General features: G+C 47.8%; 1 protein-coding gene and 1 long non-coding RNA gene across 6 annotated transcripts in view, besides 2 other annotated features; one reads left to right on the top strand and one right to left on the bottom strand.

The window, feature by feature from the left end:
• The window catches only part of MIR3936HG (MIR3936 host gene), a 58,641-nt gene extending 57,338 nt beyond the window's left edge, over positions 1 to 1,303 (top strand). The window contains exon 8 of the long non-coding RNA NR_110997.1: positions 326 to 1,303. This is a non-coding gene — a long non-coding RNA (MIR3936 host gene). The remainder of the gene's footprint in view (positions 1 to 325) is intronic.
• Positions 1 to 18,185, bottom strand: part of SLC22A4 (solute carrier family 22 member 4) — a 49,797-nt gene extending 31,612 nt beyond the window's left edge. For 2 of the 5 annotated variants that reach the window (NM_003059.3, XM_047417594.1), the window contains exons 1-2: positions 17,570 to 18,185; positions 315 to 418 (exon numbers count right to left, since the gene is read on the bottom strand). In NM_003059.3, coding sequence (NP_003050.2) covers positions 315 to 418; positions 17,570 to 17,962 — 497 coding nt within the window. In that variant the 5' untranslated portion in view covers positions 17,963 to 18,185. Of the gene's footprint in view, positions 1 to 314; positions 419 to 16,957; positions 17,161 to 17,569 lie in introns of those variants that run through there. The other 3 variants (XM_006714675.5, XM_011543589.3, XM_017009776.2) reach the window with 2 other exon arrangements.
• Positions 18,018 to 18,067: a silencer, noted in NCBI's record as "silent region_16316". NCBI's record gives its function as "represses an Ori minimal core promoter by ATAC-STARR-seq in GM12878 lymphoblastoid cells {active_cell/tissue: GM12878}" and the evidence as "EXISTENCE:reporter gene assay evidence [ECO:0000049][PMID:35858748]".
• Positions 18,138 to 18,497: a silencer, noted in NCBI's record as "silent region_16315". NCBI's record gives its function as "represses an Ori minimal core promoter by ATAC-STARR-seq in GM12878 lymphoblastoid cells {active_cell/tissue: GM12878}" and the evidence as "EXISTENCE:reporter gene assay evidence [ECO:0000049][PMID:35858748]".

Genomic DNA, 18,589 nt, shown 5'->3' with positions numbered 1-18,589 from the left:
ATGGCAGCGTCATGTTTTGTCAAGGAGTCTGTGGTATGAGGACCCCACTTTCCAGTGGGGTCAGTGGCCCCTCCCCACCACTGGCCAAAGCCCTGGGAGCATGAGGCTGGGAGAATGGAACAAAAGTGTGTCCAGGTGAAGGGGACTGAGGGCGGGGTGAATAGGAGACATCGGGGCTCCTCCTATCACTGAATCAGTGGCCTGAGGGTCCTCCCTTTCTCTGGGTAGAAATACCCTGAATTCAGTCCAGCCCCAAGATAGGCAGTGATTGACAAGGGGCACCATCCCACCTTCCTCCCCTCCCATGTGCTTACCTGTCTGACAGCTGCCCGGACACGAAGGAGCCGAGGAGCACGCCTACGAAGAACAGGGAGGTGGTGAGGGGCACCTTCCAGTTGTCCTCACACACCAGATTCCACTGCCAAGGAAGACAGCATGAAGCGTGAGCCCAACCCTGAGGCAGACCTCAACCCCAGCCCAGCTCTGAGGGAATATTAGCACGGCTGGCGGGCAGACTCTCCTCCCCTGGGCCAGGATATTGCCTTTGTACAAAGGGCATAGGCCTTGCAGCCCTGGGTTTGACTGGCCTGTGCCGGGACTGGGGAGAGTAACCTGGGGCAGGTCACTGCCCTCCCTGAAACTCAGGATCCTCTTTGGAAAGGGAGGGTGATGCTCCTACTCCGCTCGCATTACATAGCAAGAAGCCAGCCAAGGCCATGGCTGTGACTGGTGACCCCTCAGCTGTGAGGCAGTCCAAAGTAAAGGTGGCACTGCATCTTCAGAAGCCAGCCTAGTGCGGAGGGGAGGTGTTTGAAAAGCCCAAAGGGCAGGGCAGAGGGCATGGCCACTTGGTCCAGGCGTAAAATTTCTTTTCCCTTGTTGAAAAGTGCAAGTGGTTCCAGGAGCTCTGTGACTTTATTTTCTGAGCAGGCCCCTCTGAGAAATCATGTGGTCCCTGGTCCACTCACGCCTAGGCCAAGCTTGTGGCCTGATTCGGGGCCCCATCGTTCTGGGGCCTACTTACTCCTCTCCAGGGCTCCCTAGCTCCCCTCCTACATCCCTACACCCTCCTTCCCATCCAGTCTTTCCAGAAGTGTGGTCCCTCCCATTCCCTAGGGTCTGTGGGATGCTGCTGCCCTAACAAGTCCCTGCCAGTGCATCTACAAAATGAGTTTCAGCCAGAGTTTCAGTTTGACTTAAGTCAATTAAGCAACATCTCAAGGGAGGTGACAAAAATTTCAAAGTGTGTTTAGTGACCTTTCATTTATTAAAAACAAATAAATAAACAAACAGATGCCAATGAGCACTTTGGGCTTGGGTTTTGGGGGCTGCTGTCTGTGGCGAGATGATCCAGTCTGGAGGAAAGACCCCTGCCTCCCACCCAGCCCTAGCTCCATCTTGGATGGGGCTGCTTTTACTGCATTCGCCAAACAATTCCTTCTGAATCCTCACAACTCCCTTGAAAGTGTGGTGGATTTAAGCACAAACTCACATATTTATATCACACCTTATTCTGCAGCAGACAGAGGTGTTTATAAAGACACACACAAGAGAAAAATGTAAAACAAAAAGCTAAGGGAATTGGGGAAAATGGAAAATAAAGAGGAGGGAAGTTGCAAAAACCAAGCCTGGGGTAAGACTGACCCTAGACTATCCTGTCCACGGGCCTGCCTGCTTGCCAGACGGGGCTCCAAAACTGGCTCTGCGTATCCCAGCAGCTCAGCTCTCAGAAGGGTTACAGTATCCGAAGTAGTCTGCTTATTCGCAGAAGCACAGTTGTTCTGAATACTGAGATCCGAAAGAAGTGTCTCCTATGTACTTCTTCCACAAAGGAGCCACTCTGTGATGCTGAGGATAATGTCCTCGAGAATAGTCCTGTCCTAGAGACAATAGCAAGATTCATGAGGCCGCCTGTCACAGTGCTCAAATGCTGGCCACAGGCAACGCCCAACACAGCTCTGCAGAAGAAAAACAACTCGGGCCAGGAAGTTAGCGCTCTGCTGCTCAGGCACAATCCAAGGATAAATCTCAGACTGTACCCAGAGCAGGATTGCCTCGCCTGGGGCTCTTGCATGGGCTTCAGGAGAAAGGGAAATGAATCCTCTAAAACTGTATGGCCAGATTAATGTGTTCTGCCAGTCCATAGACCGGAAGTGGTAAACAGGACGTGTGCCTGCATTCATGGCCATCTCCCTCCAAAAATAATTGTCCAAAGCTTCAGATAAAAGCTTGGGTTCTGCTTCTGACTTAGAGAGATGAGCAATTGAGGCCCAAAGCCTCATGATGTGGTGTGACCCATTTTGCAGAAGATTAAACTGAGACTGTGAGAATGGGATTTGTCTGAAGTCATAGCAAGTAAATGAGCATGATAGATACCTACTTGGGCCTCAGAACCCAATCTTGTACCAGTGTCCTGCTTTGGACCTATACTCCCTAAGGCAGGACAAAATGAGCTTATTAAATATGATGCCCTACACTTCTTCAAGGAATGTGATACCAGGAGACAATTACCCAGGACTAGGAGTAGAAGGCCTCCATCACAGCCTTTAGCCTCAGACTGAGCCAAGAAGAACTCAAGATTGGTAGAGGCATTAACATGCCAACCATCATCATTCCATCTGCAGTTGAGCAGAAAAGCTCTTTCAAATATAATGTGCTCTCCTTTGTAGTCTGTCAAATATTTTTCTGTCTGGACTTTGCCTTAGGGCAGGATAGATAGGATTTAGAGATAGAAAGGAATGGAAGGCTGTTAGATGTGGAGCCAGGCATTGCATGAGCAAAGGGTAGGACTGGGAACTGGCTACTTAATTTGCAAGGTCCAGGGCAAACTGAAAATGCAGAACTCCTTGGTCAAAAATTATTAAGAATTTCAATACAGCAATGGCAAAGCATTGAAACCAAGTGTGGCGCTCTGTGTGACTGCACAGTTGCATGCCCATGAAGCTGGCCCTGGCAGGGGATCAAACCTGGCCTCCAGGAAATGAAGCAGATGCAGGAGTTCTGAATGGGGACACTGGGAAGGGGGGTGAGGTGAGGGCCATCTCCCATCATTCTCCTTCCTGTAGGCTCTGCATCGATGGCTTTCGGTCCCATTCCCTCCCTGAAGAGGGGCCCAAGAAGCCCTGTCAGCATCATGCAGCACAGGAAGAGCCATGCACACGCAGTGGCCGTTTGCCCCAAGCCCATGAGGGGTGCCATCTGCCTTTGGAGACCCTGCTTACAACCAGCAGGGGAAGGCAGCTAGACTGCATGGCTGCCCATGGTTGATTCTAGGGCTGGGCTCTCCTTTGGGGAGTTATGGTGCCGCAAGTGTCTTTTTGGAAAGCTGTGAGGGGCCTGGTATTAGGACACAGGATTGGCAGATGAAGTTCTACCTGGAGCGAAGGGCTAGAGTCCAGTAAATCAGCTGCCAGTCCTAAGAGGGGTCCTTTAGAAAAGGCTTTTCTTAGGAAACCGGCCCTGCCTGCCCCTGGGCCCTTCAGGTTTGAGGGATATGTCTTGGGTCTCCGCTAGCCAGGGCCACAAAACCTCCCTGTGGTTAACAGTGACATGGCGGGCCCAGTGGGAGACAGTGTTTTCCTTGATGGGACAGACCTGTCCCTGTGGGTCCCTGCACATGTTTGTACATACATGCACACACACATACATACACATGACCAGCTCAGAGGCTAATGGCAGATGTCCTGGTAAGGAGCTGGCTGGCATTGCTTTGGGGGTGTGCTTTCAAGTCAAATCCTAACATTTCTGAAACATAGCTTACCTCCCCTCTCCCTGCCCCTCTGATGGGGCCTCCCGGGGTTACTATGTCTGTCCCATCAGCAGGGTCCCAGACCAAGGTTCTCACAACAGAGCAGAGTGAGCTCCATTTAGCTGGGCCGCATGGCCTTCAGCTCTAATTTAAGAAACAAAAATCCAGGTGACAAGGTAATAGGGGATAGGAGGTCACTCTTGGCATAGAAGGATGTGCCGCTTCCCATGGCTCCCTATAGTAAAGGGAGTAATGGGAAAGACAGTAACAGTGTGTGGAGTGCTCACTGAGTGCCGTGTATTATCTCAGGGGATCTCAGGGTTGGCATGTGAGATGGGTACTCTTATCCTTGTTTTACAAATGAGGAAATGAAGGCACAGAGCAATAAAGCAACCAGCCCAAGTTCTCCTAGTGAATTGGTAAAAAAAAAAAAAAAAAAAAAAAAAAAAAAAAAAAAATTGCTTAATCATTGATTCAACTGACATTCAGCACCTACCTGCTCCAGGCCAGGCTCTGTGTAGGGCACAAGAAAGACATGGTCCCTGCCCTCACAAAGCTCAAGGTCAAGCATACTTTACAGGACAGATGTGCACATGTGCATGCATGAGGCCAGCAGCCCTGGGTGGGGTGGGCGCTGTTCTGGGCCACTTCACCCTTGCTCTTTGGCTAGAGAGGAAAGAGGCACCCCCTCCTCACCATCCTCCAGCAGAAGGACAGAGTTCTAAAACCTGAATAATCCGTATAATCATATTTTAGATGACTAGTGTTTGCACAGTGCTAGGCACACAGTGGGTGCTTAACAAATTGTTGAATGAATATTGAACAATTAATTAGGAGTCATAGAAAATCAGCCTGGAAAATGTGGTTCTTGGGCTGAGGAGTATCACGCATTGCACTTGGAAAATCACCCTCAGCCTTGAACTAACTCTCCAAGTAGCCAAAGTCTGGCAGTTTTAGTTTTTACCAGAGCTATAAAGGACCATAAAGATAAGTGAACCCCGTCTGACCTGCACGGAACTGAGAACGCTGGAAGGTAGCCTGGTGTTCAGCAAAGAACACAGGCTTTCTCGGGGTCTGCAACTTTGGACTGTGTGATGTTGGGCAATCCATTCACCTCTATTAGCCTGCTTCTTCACCTTCAAAAAGATGACAATAATACCTGCTCCTAGGTTTGTTGTGTGCATTGGATGGGAAATATCAGTGGAGCGTCTGACACATTACAGGCCTCATTAAATGGTAGTTCCCTTTCTACCAGGCTCATACTAGTAGAGCATTTTATTTGTCCTGAGCAAAATCATGACTTGGAACACATGGACGAATAAGCAAAGCAGGTTACACTTAAATCTGACTAAGAGAAAGAAATTCTAAGAAATAAAAATTATTCCAGTCCATTACTAAAAGCTAGAAAAGCTCTTATAAAAGGGATTTGATAAATGGAATTCAATCCCAGAGATGACTGTGAGTGAAAAATTAGCAATGGTCCTTTTAAGAATAAAAGATTGATTTCTATAGTATCCTCTCATAGTTATCCTTTATTCTAGAGAAAAGTAAGAAGTAGTAGTTAATAATGGACTATACATCCACCCCAGTTCTATCTTTGTCACTTGATTGTGACTTAAAGCTGGGAATTCCTTGACAATATGAAAAAACAAAACAAAGAAAAACAAAAACAAACATGGCTAGTTAATTACTTTTTTGTAACAACTTTATTGAGATATGATTTATACACCATAACATTTACTCTTTTAAAGTATACAAATCAATCATTTTTAGTATATTCACAGACTTCAGCAACCATCAGCAATGATCTGATTTTAGAATTTTCATCACCCTTGAAAGAAAACCCATACCTGTTAGCAGTCACTCCTCATTCGCTACTTCCTCTAGCCCCTGGAAACCACTAATCTACTTTCTGTCTCTATGAATTTGCCTATTCTGGACATTTCATATAAATGGAATCATACAATATATAGTGTTTTATGACTGGCTTCTTATACTTAGCTCCTTTTCTAAGTCCATCCATGTCATTGTGCAGTGTATCAGCACTTCATTACTTTTTATGGTTTAATAATATGCCATGGTTTGGGCTGGGTGCGGTGGGTCACACCTGTAATCCCAGCACTTTGGGAGGCCGAGGCGGGTGGGTCACCTGAGGTCAGGAGTTCAAGACCAGCCTGGGTAACATGGTGAAACCCTGTCTCTACTAAAAATGCAAAAATTAGCTGGGCACGGTGGCACGTGCCTGTAATCCCAGCTACTTGGGAGACTGAGGCAGGAGAGTTGCTTGAGCCTGGAGGTGGAGGTTGCAGTGAGCTGAGATCACACCACTGCACTCCAGCCTGGGCAACAAAGTGAGACTCCATCTCAACAACAACAACAACAACAACTATATATATATATATATATATATATATATATATATATATATATATATATATATATATATTTCACGGTTTGGGTCTACCACGTTTTCAATGATCTGTTCATCAGTTGATAAGTAGTTGGGTTGTTTCCACTTTTTGGCTACTATGAATAATGCTGCTGTGAACATTCATGTACAACATTTTGTGTGTACATGTTTTCATTTCTTTGGGGTATATACATAGTAGTGAAATTGTTGGGTCATACGGTAAGTATATACTCAACCTTTTGCAGAACTCCTAATCTGCTTTCCAAAGTGGCTACACCATTTTACAATCCCAACAGCAATGAATGAGGGTTTCAATTTCTCCACATTCCTACCAGTACTTGTTATTGTGTGTCTTTAATTTTAGTCATTGTAGTGGGTGTAAAGAGGTATCTCATTGTGGTTTTGATTGCATTTCTCTAATAACTAATGTTGAACATCTTTTGCATTGAATCTATTGATCAATTTGGAGAGCACTGCCATACTAACAATAAGTCTTCTGCTCCATGAACAGAACATGGGAAGCTTTTCCACTTGTTAAGGCCTTCTGGAATTTCTTTCAATGACATTTTATAGTTTTTAAAGTATACATTTTGCAAATTTTTGGTTAAATTTATTTCTGAAGTGCCTCCTTTAATATTTCTTGTAAGACATCACTGCTAGAAACAATTCTCTCAAGTTTTGTGTATTTTTGAATTTCTTTATCTCAGTTTTGAAAGACAGTTTTGTTGGATGCATGATTCTTGGTTGACAGTTTCTTTTTTCCTTCAGCACTTAGAATATGCCACTCCACTGCCTTCTGTCCTTTATGGTTTCTAATGAGAAGTCAAACGTTGATCTTATTGGAGTTCTCTTGTATGTACCTAGTCATATATTTGCTGCTTTCAAAATTTTCCCTTCGTTTTTGTCTCTTTTTTTATTTAAGCAGTTTTACCATGATATATCAGGGTGTGGATCTCTTTGTGATCATTCTATTTGGAGTTTGTTGAGCTTCTGAAAGGTGTAGATTAATGTTTTCCACCAAATTTGGGAAGTTTTCAGTCATTATTTCTTTGAGCATTTTTTCTGCCCTTTTCTCTCTCTCTCCTCTCCTAGTAATTCTATTATGCATATATTGCTATGTTTAATGGTGTTCCCCATTTCTCTGAGACTCTATACATTTTCTTTATTCCCTTTTTCCTCTCTGTTCTTTGGATTGCATAATTTCCAATCCTCTATCTTCAAGTTTGCTGATTCTTTCTTTTGCCTGTTCAAATCTTCTGTTAAGGCCCTTGAGTTACTTTTAAATTTCAATTATTGTATACTTTTACTCCAGAAGTTCTATTCAGTTGTTTTGTTTGTTTAAGAGACAAGGTCTCTTTCTGTTGCCCAGGCTGGGGTTGAACTCCTGGGCTTAAGCAATCCTCCTACCTCAGCCTCCTGAGTAACTGGGACTATAGGCACATGCCATCATGTCTGGCTCAGCTTTTAAAAATATAAATGTAATTTTTCTCTCTTTATTGCTATTCTCTATTTGATGCAATATTGTCATCATACTTTTAAAAGCATGACTTCCTTTCATTCTTTGAACATATTTATAATGGCTGCCTTATGCCTTAAAGTCTGTTAAAATCTGACATGTGGACCCTCTCAGGCAGTTACTGTTGCCCACGTTTTCCCCCCATGTATAGGTCATATTTTTCTGTTTCTCTGCATATCTCGTAATTTCTGGTTAAAAACTGGACATTTTAGATAATATATTGTAGAAATTAGGTACTGTCACATTCTTCCACCCCCATTTCCCTGATCTTTCTTCTTCTTCTTTTCCGAGATGAAGTCTCACTCTGTTGCCCAAGCTAGAGTACAGTGGCATGATCTCGGCTCACTGCAACCTCCACCTCCTGGGTTCCAGCAATTCTCCTGCCTCGGCCTCCTGAGTAGCTGGGATTACAGGGACCTGCCACCATGCCCAGCTAATTTTTGTATTTTTAGTAGAGATGGGGTTTCCCCACATTAGCCAGGCTGGTCTCAAACTCCCGGCCTCAGGTGATCCACCCGCCTTGGCCTCCCAAAGTGCTAGGATTACAGGCATGAGCCACCACGCCAGTCTGATCTTTCTATTAAGCTGTCTGTGTCTGCTGGTATCACACCCAGCTGTTAGCCTCACTAATTGCTAGCCAGTTGCCTCATTCATTTCAATAATGCCCTGGGGGCATATATTGTCCCACAGTCTAATCCAGTTGACGTCAAGCCTCTTTGCAGTGGTAGTTTTTGAGGCAAATCTATAAGGTTTGTTTTGACTCCAGAAGGGCTGCTCTTAGCTGTCTCTTTCTTGTTTTGTTTGTTTGTTTGTTTTCTGTTTTTTCCTGGTAAACTAGCTGCATTATGGGTTCATTTGTTGCTCTAATGGAGTTACCAGAATCCTTTTAGTTGCTTACCACTAAATTCTCCATTGTTCTTGAGAGCAATCTTAGGCTGTCCTTTCACACACTCTATTTCAAATAAAGTTCGTTCCTGTGGGGACAGCTTTAGAACTCTGTTCTTTTGGATTATCTCTCCCCGCTGGGCAAAATATCTGAGCTCCTGTTGTAGAGAGGTAGGCAGGGAAAGCGGCCCATTTATCTCAGAATGACACCCCTACTTTATGAGTCAGACACTGAGTGGAAGTGGGAGCTTGGTGTGGAATCTCTGCCGTATGAATGAGCTGGGATAAGGGCAATCAAGGCTCTAATATTCTCAACTTGTGGCACCTGGAGTAGAGTCTCTACTATATGAATAGGCGGTGGGTGGAGGATGGGAACCTATGATCCCCTGGTTGCACTCACGAGGATTTTACCTTCTGTGGTTTGGAGCTAAGAGAATACAGGGATGGGTGGGGGATGGGCATTGGTTGTCCCTCTTGGTGGGCTGCTGTAGCCCTTCCTTGGAAGCTGATGGGAGAGAGAACAGTATTTTCTTGGCCATACCCACCTAGAGTGGAACTTCCATTTTTCTTGTGCTGGGAGGAAGGGGAAGGGGAGGGCTGAAGGAGTTATGACTCAAATATCATAGACTTCACTGTTCTTGCCAAGGTATAGTCGACTTTCTTGAATAAATATATGCCCTTAGGACAACTTCCAGAGACTCTAAATGTGTGTGTGTGTGTGTGTATTTTCACCAGTTATGGCTGTTTCACTGAGGAGCTGGTCTATGGCGCTGGCGCTCCTCACACTGCTAACTTCGAAGTCTCAGAATCTTTTCATGTGCTAATTGATTTGTATTTCTTTGGCAAAACATCTATTCTCCAAAATGGGCAAATGATTTTATCCATTTTTAAATCAGGTTGTCTTTTTATTGCTGAGTTATCAGAGTTATTTTTATATTCTAGATACAAATCCTTTATCAGATATATGATTTGTCAATATTTTCTCCCATTTTGTGGGTTATCTTTTTGGCTGTTTAATTCTTCTACTCATATTTTCATTTACAAACAACTAAGCCAGAAGGCTGCTAAGCCTTAAAATGTTCTCAGTATCTTTCTTTCTTTATATTAGAAAAGCTACCACAGATGGAAAAGCCTCACTGATGAGTTCTGTGATCATTGGAGGCTAAACCAAAGCAGAAGAACCAGTGAGTGTGAGTGGGAAGATAGGGATGGGAGTGGAGGGGCTGTGGGAAGGAGAAGGGTCACTCAGGGACCTGGCTGTGCCCCTTGCATCCTGACAATGGATCCACCACAGCTCTACCAGTCTGTATTAGGGGAACATGAGCAAATGGCATCGTGTCTGTGCCAGTCACCAAGCACTGAGGGGAAGCTCTGGAAGTTGCCGCCTGAACCTGCCCTCCAGTCTTGCAAATGCTGAGCAGGAGCCACCAGCCTTGGACTGTCTGTGCTTCTTGCTAGAGCATGTGGGTCATTCCAGCCTTTCCCCAGAACGTCCATTCTCTCCACACCTTCTTCATTCCAAATGGGGATCCTTGCCTTTCTTTTGGACTCCAGAGACATGCATAAAACCACAACACAGCTTTAGAAAACAAGGCACACCTGTATTAGTCTTACACCTAAATTGAATGCAGCCTGCCATAAGGGAGGAATTACAGTCCTTCTAGAGGCCCAAGGTACCTGCAGCTCCCCCTGACCAGTCCTGTCAAAGCCTTGTTTTTGTCAAAATGCCACCTTGGACTCTGTCTGAGAGTTCTGCTGCCCACCAAGAGGGATGGACAAAGTCTGTTTATCCAGAAACTTGGCAGGAGGTGCAGGTGAAGCAGCCTCTGAACAAAAGCATATTCTGAGATCCTGGTGGCTGTTGTCAGAGGAACACAGCAGAGAGGCAAACAGTTTGGGGTGAGGCAGCTGATAAACAAACAGGGAAGCACATTCAGGCCAGAGCAAGGGGAAGCCCCTGAGTCTCCTCTATGTGCTCTCTGGCAAGATCTACTTTCTGAAGCATTGACTGGAAATAGAAGTCTCGCCGGGCTGGCTGGAGCCAGAGGCCCCCACACCTTATCCCCTTTGGAATCTGCCAGAGGGCAGGTCTGAGTATGGACTTGGATGATCAACTTGGTTAATATTCAGGCTATCTTGACAGTCTCCACACCCGTGAGCAATGTCCCAGGGCAGCCTGCAGGCCTGATAGAAACTCCACAAACCTGCCTATCACGGAAGGTTTTCCCCTTTTGTCGGGGCCTACCCAGACCCCAGGGGAGGTGCATCCTTGAGAGCCGCTATGTGAAGTCCCACATAGTGGCAGCCGCATGTGAGGGTTAGTCTGTTTCATTATTCCCTTGCTTGCTGCTCTCAGTGCCTCCCAGAAGTTCCCCGTTAGCAGGGGAAGAGGCCTTATCCTTCGCCACATAACCTGGCTCGCCTCTGGGTTATGGGTGGGGAATCAGTAAGTCCTACTGCTGTTCAGGCCCTGACCCCAGTTCCCAGGAAAGCACAAGGCTAGTGCCACCAGAGGTCCAGGCCCTTTGCTGGAGGCTCCATCAACTCCACTACCAGTGGGCTACCAGCAGCTCCACTAGGGTTCCTAGAGGAGGCAGCCCAGCTGCAGAAGAGGACAGGAGGATCTACGGTGTGGCAGCAGCCCTGTCTTAGATCACTGGTGGCCTGCAAAGAAGGCTGGTCCTTAACACACAAGGTTCCCCCAGGGCCTCTGGAGCACAAGACCTGGCAGAAGTGGTATCCAGCTTAGAGGTGACTGCCTCAGTTTTCCCAGCCCATGGACTGATGGGAAGGTCAAGACCCTAATGATGCTCCATGGGAGAAGAGGACATGCTTGAGGCAAAGGCCAGCCCATGCTTAGCCCCTGGCCACGAGCCAGGATTGCCTCTGCTGCTTGCCCTGTGGCCCTGCAGATGAACTTAGGCCCTCTCCAGAGCAGAGCATTTGTTGCCCTTCCTGCTCCTTTAGCCTCAGGGCAGGAGGCTGCCGGGTTTCCTCACACGCAGGGCCTCTTCTCTCTGAGGTCTTGGCCCTGAGGGCTATATATGAAGGGCCATGCCCATGGAGACTGAGATCTGACCCCTGCAGTAGGTCTCAGGGATGAGGACCCCAGCATCAGACACTCTGGGTTGCTTGGGGCACTTCCTTCCCCAACAGAAGCTTCAGTCCCAACCCAGGTCCCACCAGTCCCTGCTTGCGTTCCTGCTCAACTGCTGCCTGATGGAAAACTTAGCAACGAGCTGTGACTGGCACTCCTCCCGCAGGGGTAAACACAGACTCCTCTAGCCCTGACTGCAGAGACAGATAAAGGCCCTTACCCTGGATATCTACATTCTCTATCCTTAAAGTGAAAAATAACTTGGTTTGAGCTAGAATAACTGGAGCAACAAAATAAAGATGGATAGCATTAGTTTATAACTGATGAAATAAAATAAGTATGTATGAACCTGTACTGATATAAGTTAACAATTGCATACATTAATAAATAGATGTGGAGGGGAAGCTCTTCTTCTCAGAAGAATTCCAATTAATAAATGTTGAAGGAATCAGAAAATGCAAAATCATCACTAGGCAAACTGCAGTAATAATTGTTTCAGTCAAGACCTAGTGATGAATGCTAAAATCAGTGAATAAAAATTTGAGGAGACACAGGATTTTGTATAATCTCGAAGAACCTCCCTTAAGATATTTATTAGTGACAGAGGAAAAAATAGTACCTTTACAGCAGAGAAATTCCACAGACACCAACTTGACAAATGATCAAGGTTAACATCACCAGTAATAAGACACATCAGCATCATGTACCCACTGGTATGATGCCCAGAGAATGCATCACTTCTAAGGTATCATTACCAAAAAGTGCATAACGCAATCTAATTGTGAGAAAAATCATGCCAACCCAAACTGAGGAGCATTCATCAAAATACTCATAAAAATGTCAAGATCATGAAAGATAAGGAAAGACTAAGGAACAATCACAGATTGGAGACTGAGACATGACAACTAAATACAACATGGGATTTTGGATGGGATCCTACGATAGAAAAAGGGCAGTAGTAGAAAAACTGGTGAAATCCAAACAAAGTCTGTAGTTCAGTTATTACTATTGTAACCAATGTTAATTTCCTGGTTTGGATAAATGCATAACGCGTATTTAAATTGTTAACATCAGAGAAAGCTAGATGAAGGGTATATGTGAAATCTCTGTACTATTTTCAAACTTCTCTCTAAATCAAAAGTTATTTCAAAATAAAGTTAAAAAATAATCGCCAGGCGCGGTGGCTCACGCCTGTAATCCCAACACTTTGGGAGGCCGAGGCAGGTGGATCACCTTAGGTCAGGAGTTCGAGACCAGCCTGGCCAACATGGTGAAACCCTGTCTCTACTAAAAATACAAAAAACAAACAAACAAACAAACAAAAAACTAGCCGGGCATGGTAGCAGGCCCCTGTAATCCCAGCTACTCGGGAGGCTGAGGCAGGAGAATCGCTTGAACCAAGGAGGCAGAGGTTGCAGTGAGCCGAGATGGCACCATTGCACTCCTCCACCCTGGGCAACAAGAACGAAGAAAGAAACTCCATCTCAAAAAAATAAAATAAAATAAAATAAAATAAAATAAAATAAAACGAAAAATAATTTGACTCTTAGTAACTGCACAGGTTGAAAAACTTGGACCTCACAATCAACCCCTGAAGAAGGAAACTACCTTATACACATGTACACACACAGACGAATGCACTCACGCAAACCCCAACTCAGACACCTTATTGCTACCTCCTGGCATACTATGAAAGGCATTTCTACAGCACAGCATGCCATCCTTGGTTCCTGGCTAACCCTGTCCTCCTGTGAAGAGGTGTTGGGGGGCAGTTCAGGCAGACTTGTCTGTCCCCAAAGATATGCCCATTGGGAGATCCTGGCACGGCAGTATAAGGCAAAGACACAATCTGAGGACAGTCCCACTACCTGTGTTGTGCCAACTGGGATGCAGAGAACCTTCTCAGGGGCCCTGGGCTTGGCCCTGTACACTGGCACTGGCCAAGTCAGTATGGGTTTGGACTTGTGTTCTATTCTCTGAGGCTTGGAACTGCCACTGTGGGGAGAGGGGCTCAGCCTCCAGCAAGTCCCATCACCTATTACACAGGCCACAACCTGGACTTTAGAACAGCTCCCACCATGCCCACTGTCCCCAGCCAGTGGAGAAGGCAAAGAAGGTGCTGAGCTTCTGCCTTTACCACTCCTCACCACCACCTAGGAAGCCCATTTGCTGGTGCCACACTCTTTGCTGGTGCCACACTCTGTGCTGGCCACCACCGGATGGGGCATGGGGCATTATCTCACTGAGTCCTCCCAACAACTCAGATAAGGTGGCTTCTCTTATTATCCCCATTTTGAAAACTGAGATAAAGTACACATAATATACAGTTTACCATCTTAGCCATTTTTAAGTGTACAGTTCAGAAGCGTTCACACTGTTGTGCAATCAATCTCCAACACTACTTTCATCTTACAAAACTGAAACTCTATACCCATGAAACAACGACTCCCTACTCCTTCCTTCTTCCAGTCCCTGGCAACCACCATTTACTTTCTGCTTCTGTGAGTGTGACTACTCCTGTAGTGAAATCAGAAAATAATTTGTCTTGTGACTGGCTTATTTCACTAAGCGTAGTCTCCTCAAGGTTTATCCACGTTGTAGCATGTCCTTCCTTTTTAAAGCTGAATAATCGTCCATTGTACGCATATACCACATTATGTTTATCCATTTGTCTGTGGAAGGACACTTGGGTTGCTTTCACCTTTTGACTATTGTGAATAATGCTACCATAGACATGGTGTACAAATATCTCTTTGAAACCCTGTTTCAATTATTTTAGACATATATCCAGAATTAGTATTGCTGGATCATATGGTGATTCTATTTTTAATTTTTTTAGGGACCACCACATTATTTTCCATAGTGGCTGCACCATTTTACACTCCCACTAGGAATGAACAAGGGTTTCAATTTCTCTACATCCTCACTAACACTTGTTATTTTCTGTGTTTAAAAACAACAACAACACTTTTTTAGAGGTGGGGTCTTGCCCTGTCACCCAGGCTGGAGTGCAGAGATATGGTCATAGCTCACTGCAACCTCAAACTCTTGGGCTCAAGTGATCCTCCTGCCCCAGCCTCCTGAGAAGCTGGAACTACAGTCACATGCCCTCATGCCTGGCTAATTTTTTATTTATTTTTTGTAGAGATGGGGTCTTACTATGTTGCCCAGTGCTGTCTTGAACTCCTGCCCCCTAGCAATCCTCCTGCCTCGGCCTCCCAAAGTGGATTTCTGGGTGTTTTTTTTTTCTTTTTGTAGTAACTATTTTTAAGGGTACAAAGTGGTACCTCCTTATGATTTTCATTTGCATTTCCCTAGTGATTAGTGATGTTGAGCCTCTTTTCATCGCTTGTACCCCCAATTTATAGACAAGGAAACTGAGGCTTTCATCAGTGATGTAACCTGCCTGGAGTCAGCCAGGTGGTTGGCAGTGGAGTCAAAACTGGCCCTCTACTGAGTCTGACTCCAGAACTCTGTGTGCTGCCGCCCCTCTGGGGGAGAGCCATCCATCCATCCTGCTTACCCTGGTACTTGCTTCCTTCCCTCCTCCTCCCAACCACCAGAGCCCAGTTTTTTGTTGTTGTTGTTGTTTGTTTGTTTGTTTTGAGACACAGTCTGGCTCTGTCACCCAGGCTGGAGTGCTGTGGTGTGATCTCAGCTCACTGCAACCTCCGCCTCCCAGGTTGAAGTGATTCTCCTGCCTTAGCCTCCCGAGTAGCTGGGACTACAGGGGTGCACCACCACTCCCAGCTAATTTTTGTATTTTTAGTAGAGACGGGGTTTCACCATGTTGGCCAGGCTGGTCTCAAACTCCTGACCTCAAGTAATCTGCCCGCCTCAGCCTCTCAAAGTACTGGGATTACAGGCGTGAGCCACTGTGCCCAGCCCCTAGTTGCTTTTTATTTTACTTCCACCACTCAAAAAGGAAGCCAGGAAGGGAAAAGCTGCCAAAAAAAGCAAATCCTGGTGCATGTGTGTGAATGTGTGATGATGTACATCCTTAGAGGTCCCTGTGAACAGCGTACAACATGAGTAGCTATGGACTTGGAGGCCAGCAGCTACTCACCCCTCACGCCCTACAGTGAACAAAACCAGCGAGCAATGGAAAAGCAGACAGGTCAGCCCAGCTGCCAGGGAAGGCTGCCACTCATGGGTCCAGCCTCCATAACAGGCACTGATAACACTTCCAGGAATCGACGCGGGATGAGCTGGCCCCCAGTCTCAGCTGCTCCCAGGCCATGCTGTGGGCAGGGAGTGGGCAAGCACTAGAGCCCCTGCTAGGGAAGCAAATCCAGAGAAGCATGGCCACCTTAGGGCCCAGGGTAGGTATGGTGCCAATGCTGGGGGATCCAAAGGCAGTCCCTGGGCTGAGCCCACTTCCCACAGGTGCCACAGATTCGACAACCACCACGCCTGGCTGGCCACCATTCTCTTGCAGAGGAGAGTTTCAAAACTTCCTCACTGGTCTTCTTGTTTATCATAGCAGCTAGAGTGAGCTCTTTCCAAAAGCACGAACCTGGCCTTAGAATGCTTACTATTTTCTCACTGTCCTCCGAATAAAGTCAGCTCCTCAGTATACATAGAAGGCCACTATGAACTAGCCCTTGTGGCCATTTCTAGTCTCATTTGTCATATCTGTCATCCCTTGAGTTCCAGCCACTCCGATATATGAGAATTCCATTACCTGAATTTCCCATACTCTTGCCTAGACAGGTCTTGCTCACATTTTCAGAATCAGCTAAAATCATATCACCCCTTCTTGGAGTATTTCCTCCACCTATTGTCCCACAGAGAGGGTGATTTATTTATCCCAGGTCACATAGCAAGCAAGGCAGGACTTGAATTTGGGTTCCAGAACCCTATTGCTAACCAGGGTTAATGTTAGCCTTCTCAGTAACACAGCCAGTGTGCCCCATGGGCATCTGAGGGTAGGCTCCACACACCAGATGTCCACACCTTAGTGCTCAGCACAAGGCCAGACACAATGTCTGATGACCGCTATACCGTGCTGAGGGAAAGGGATAAGGGACTAGCAGAGGCCACTCAGGTTTTTCTTGGGAGGAGCATGAGGCAGAGGAGGGACTAGCAGCAGGGAAATCCTACCTGCCTGACCAATAGCAGGCAACAGCTCCATGAGGATGCTCTCCTCAGAAGAAAGGTGTATCCTGACCCAGGTCCTTACCAGATGTGAAGCAGCAAAAGCGGGAGAAGTGTGTGTGCATCCTCATTCCTGGAACTTAGAAAACCTGCCACTAACCACGCAGGGTGCTGAGGGGCTACAGCCCCTGCCTGCCAACTCACCCTGTGCTCAGAGAGGTCCCTGAGGGCCAGGGCTTCCAGCTGGGGTTTCGCCTTCTGTGCTTCCTTGCACCCAATGAGCCTCAGGAGGCCATCTGCTGTCTTAGAGAAACTGGGGCCTCAGGAAAGGACCCCAAACCTCACAAGTATATGGTACGGCAGTACACCTCCTGATGCCTCCAGAAGTCTGTGGCCAGGGAACAGACAAGATTTGGCCCCGCCCTGCCCAGTAACAAGGTCCCTCACACCCCTCCTCCCATGCCTGGCAGGAAGGTGACTCAGGCAGTGCGTCTGGGTAGCCTGGGGCTGCGCTTCCCCCAACGCAACATCTAGGTTCTTAGGAAACTTCATTTGTTGTGAAAATCGGAAATGAAAAGACAGTTGGTGACAAACTCCTTTCTCCATCACCTCCTTATTGGACAGAAACGACCCAGGAATGCGCCTCGCGTGAGTCCTATTCTTTCTTGGGGTGCACACCCGCTGCTGGAAGTATGAACAGCAGGTTTGAGGGGGAGGGGAGCGCTGACCCGGGCACTGCGCAGGGAGTCTCAAGGGGGGCTGACGCAGAGGGAGGGTCAGGCACTCCCGGGTCAACGGTCTCGGCCTGGCACCCACCTCGGTCACGACGGTGGACAGGTAGACGTCCTGGCTGAACTCCCAGCCATCCAGGCAGCTCTCCTGCTCCAGCTGCCCCAGGTCCACGTCGCGCCCCGGCTCCAGCCCGAGCGCCGAGAAGTTGGCGATGGTGGCGAGCCGGTAGCGGCTGCAGCTGTGGGGCACCTCGCGGCCGTCCCGCAGCCGCAGCGGGACACTGTTGTTGCGCCAGGCGCTGCTCAGGTTCGCGGCGTCCGGCACTCGACAGCGGTGCTCCGGGGTCCCCGCCAGGAACACGACTGACATACCATTGAAGCCATTGGGGATGATGCTGGCGCTGAGCAGGAAGAAGATGAGGCGCTGGAAGGGCCCCCACTCGCCCAGGAAGGCGATCACCTCGTCGTAGTCCCGCATGCTTCCCACTGCCGCTCCGAAACTTGCAACTACGGGTGATGACAGCGTTCTCAGGACAGTGTCTTGTAGCTGGGGCGCTCCCCAAGGATGTTAGAACGTTCCCGGGGGACAGGCAGGCTGTTAGAAATTGGGGCGCGAAGCCGGGGACCGTTCCTGGGAAACAGGCTGAAGGCGTTGGAGCGTTCCCGGGAGCTCGCGCTGAGCTTGATGCCACTGTACACTTGGGACCACACCCCCATCCCCGGCCGGGCGCGGGGAAGGGGAGGGCGGCCCAGCCCGGGAGGCTGGGCTCCCGGCTGTCTCCGCCCTGTGCTTCGCGCGCCCGCCCGCCCCCAAGGACCTGACGGGGGCTTCCAGGCTGGGCTCAGCCATTCCGCCCGCGTGCCGGGGAAGAAGCTCGTTCTCGGTTGTCCCCAGCCACCCCCGAGCGCTGATTCCCAGACCTGGGCCCCACGTGGGAGGGCGGGCGCAAGGGAGGAGCCGAGGCCAGAGAGCGAGTTCTCGGAGGGGTCGGCCCTCGATCTGCTCGGGCCGCGTGGCCCCGGGCCCAGACCCCAGCAGGGTTCCCTCCGCGGTCTCCTCCAATCTGGAGGCTGAGCTTAGGCTGCCACGCGTGGGGCGCGGAGG

This window comes from Homo sapiens, chromosome 5, assembly GCF_000001405.40.
Source record: "Homo sapiens chromosome 5, GRCh38.p14 Primary Assembly".
Lineage (NCBI taxonomy): Eukaryota > Metazoa > Chordata > Mammalia > Primates > Hominidae > Homo > Homo sapiens.
Note: the sequence above shows the minus strand (reverse complement) of the source record. Positions and strands in the feature narration are given on the sequence as shown.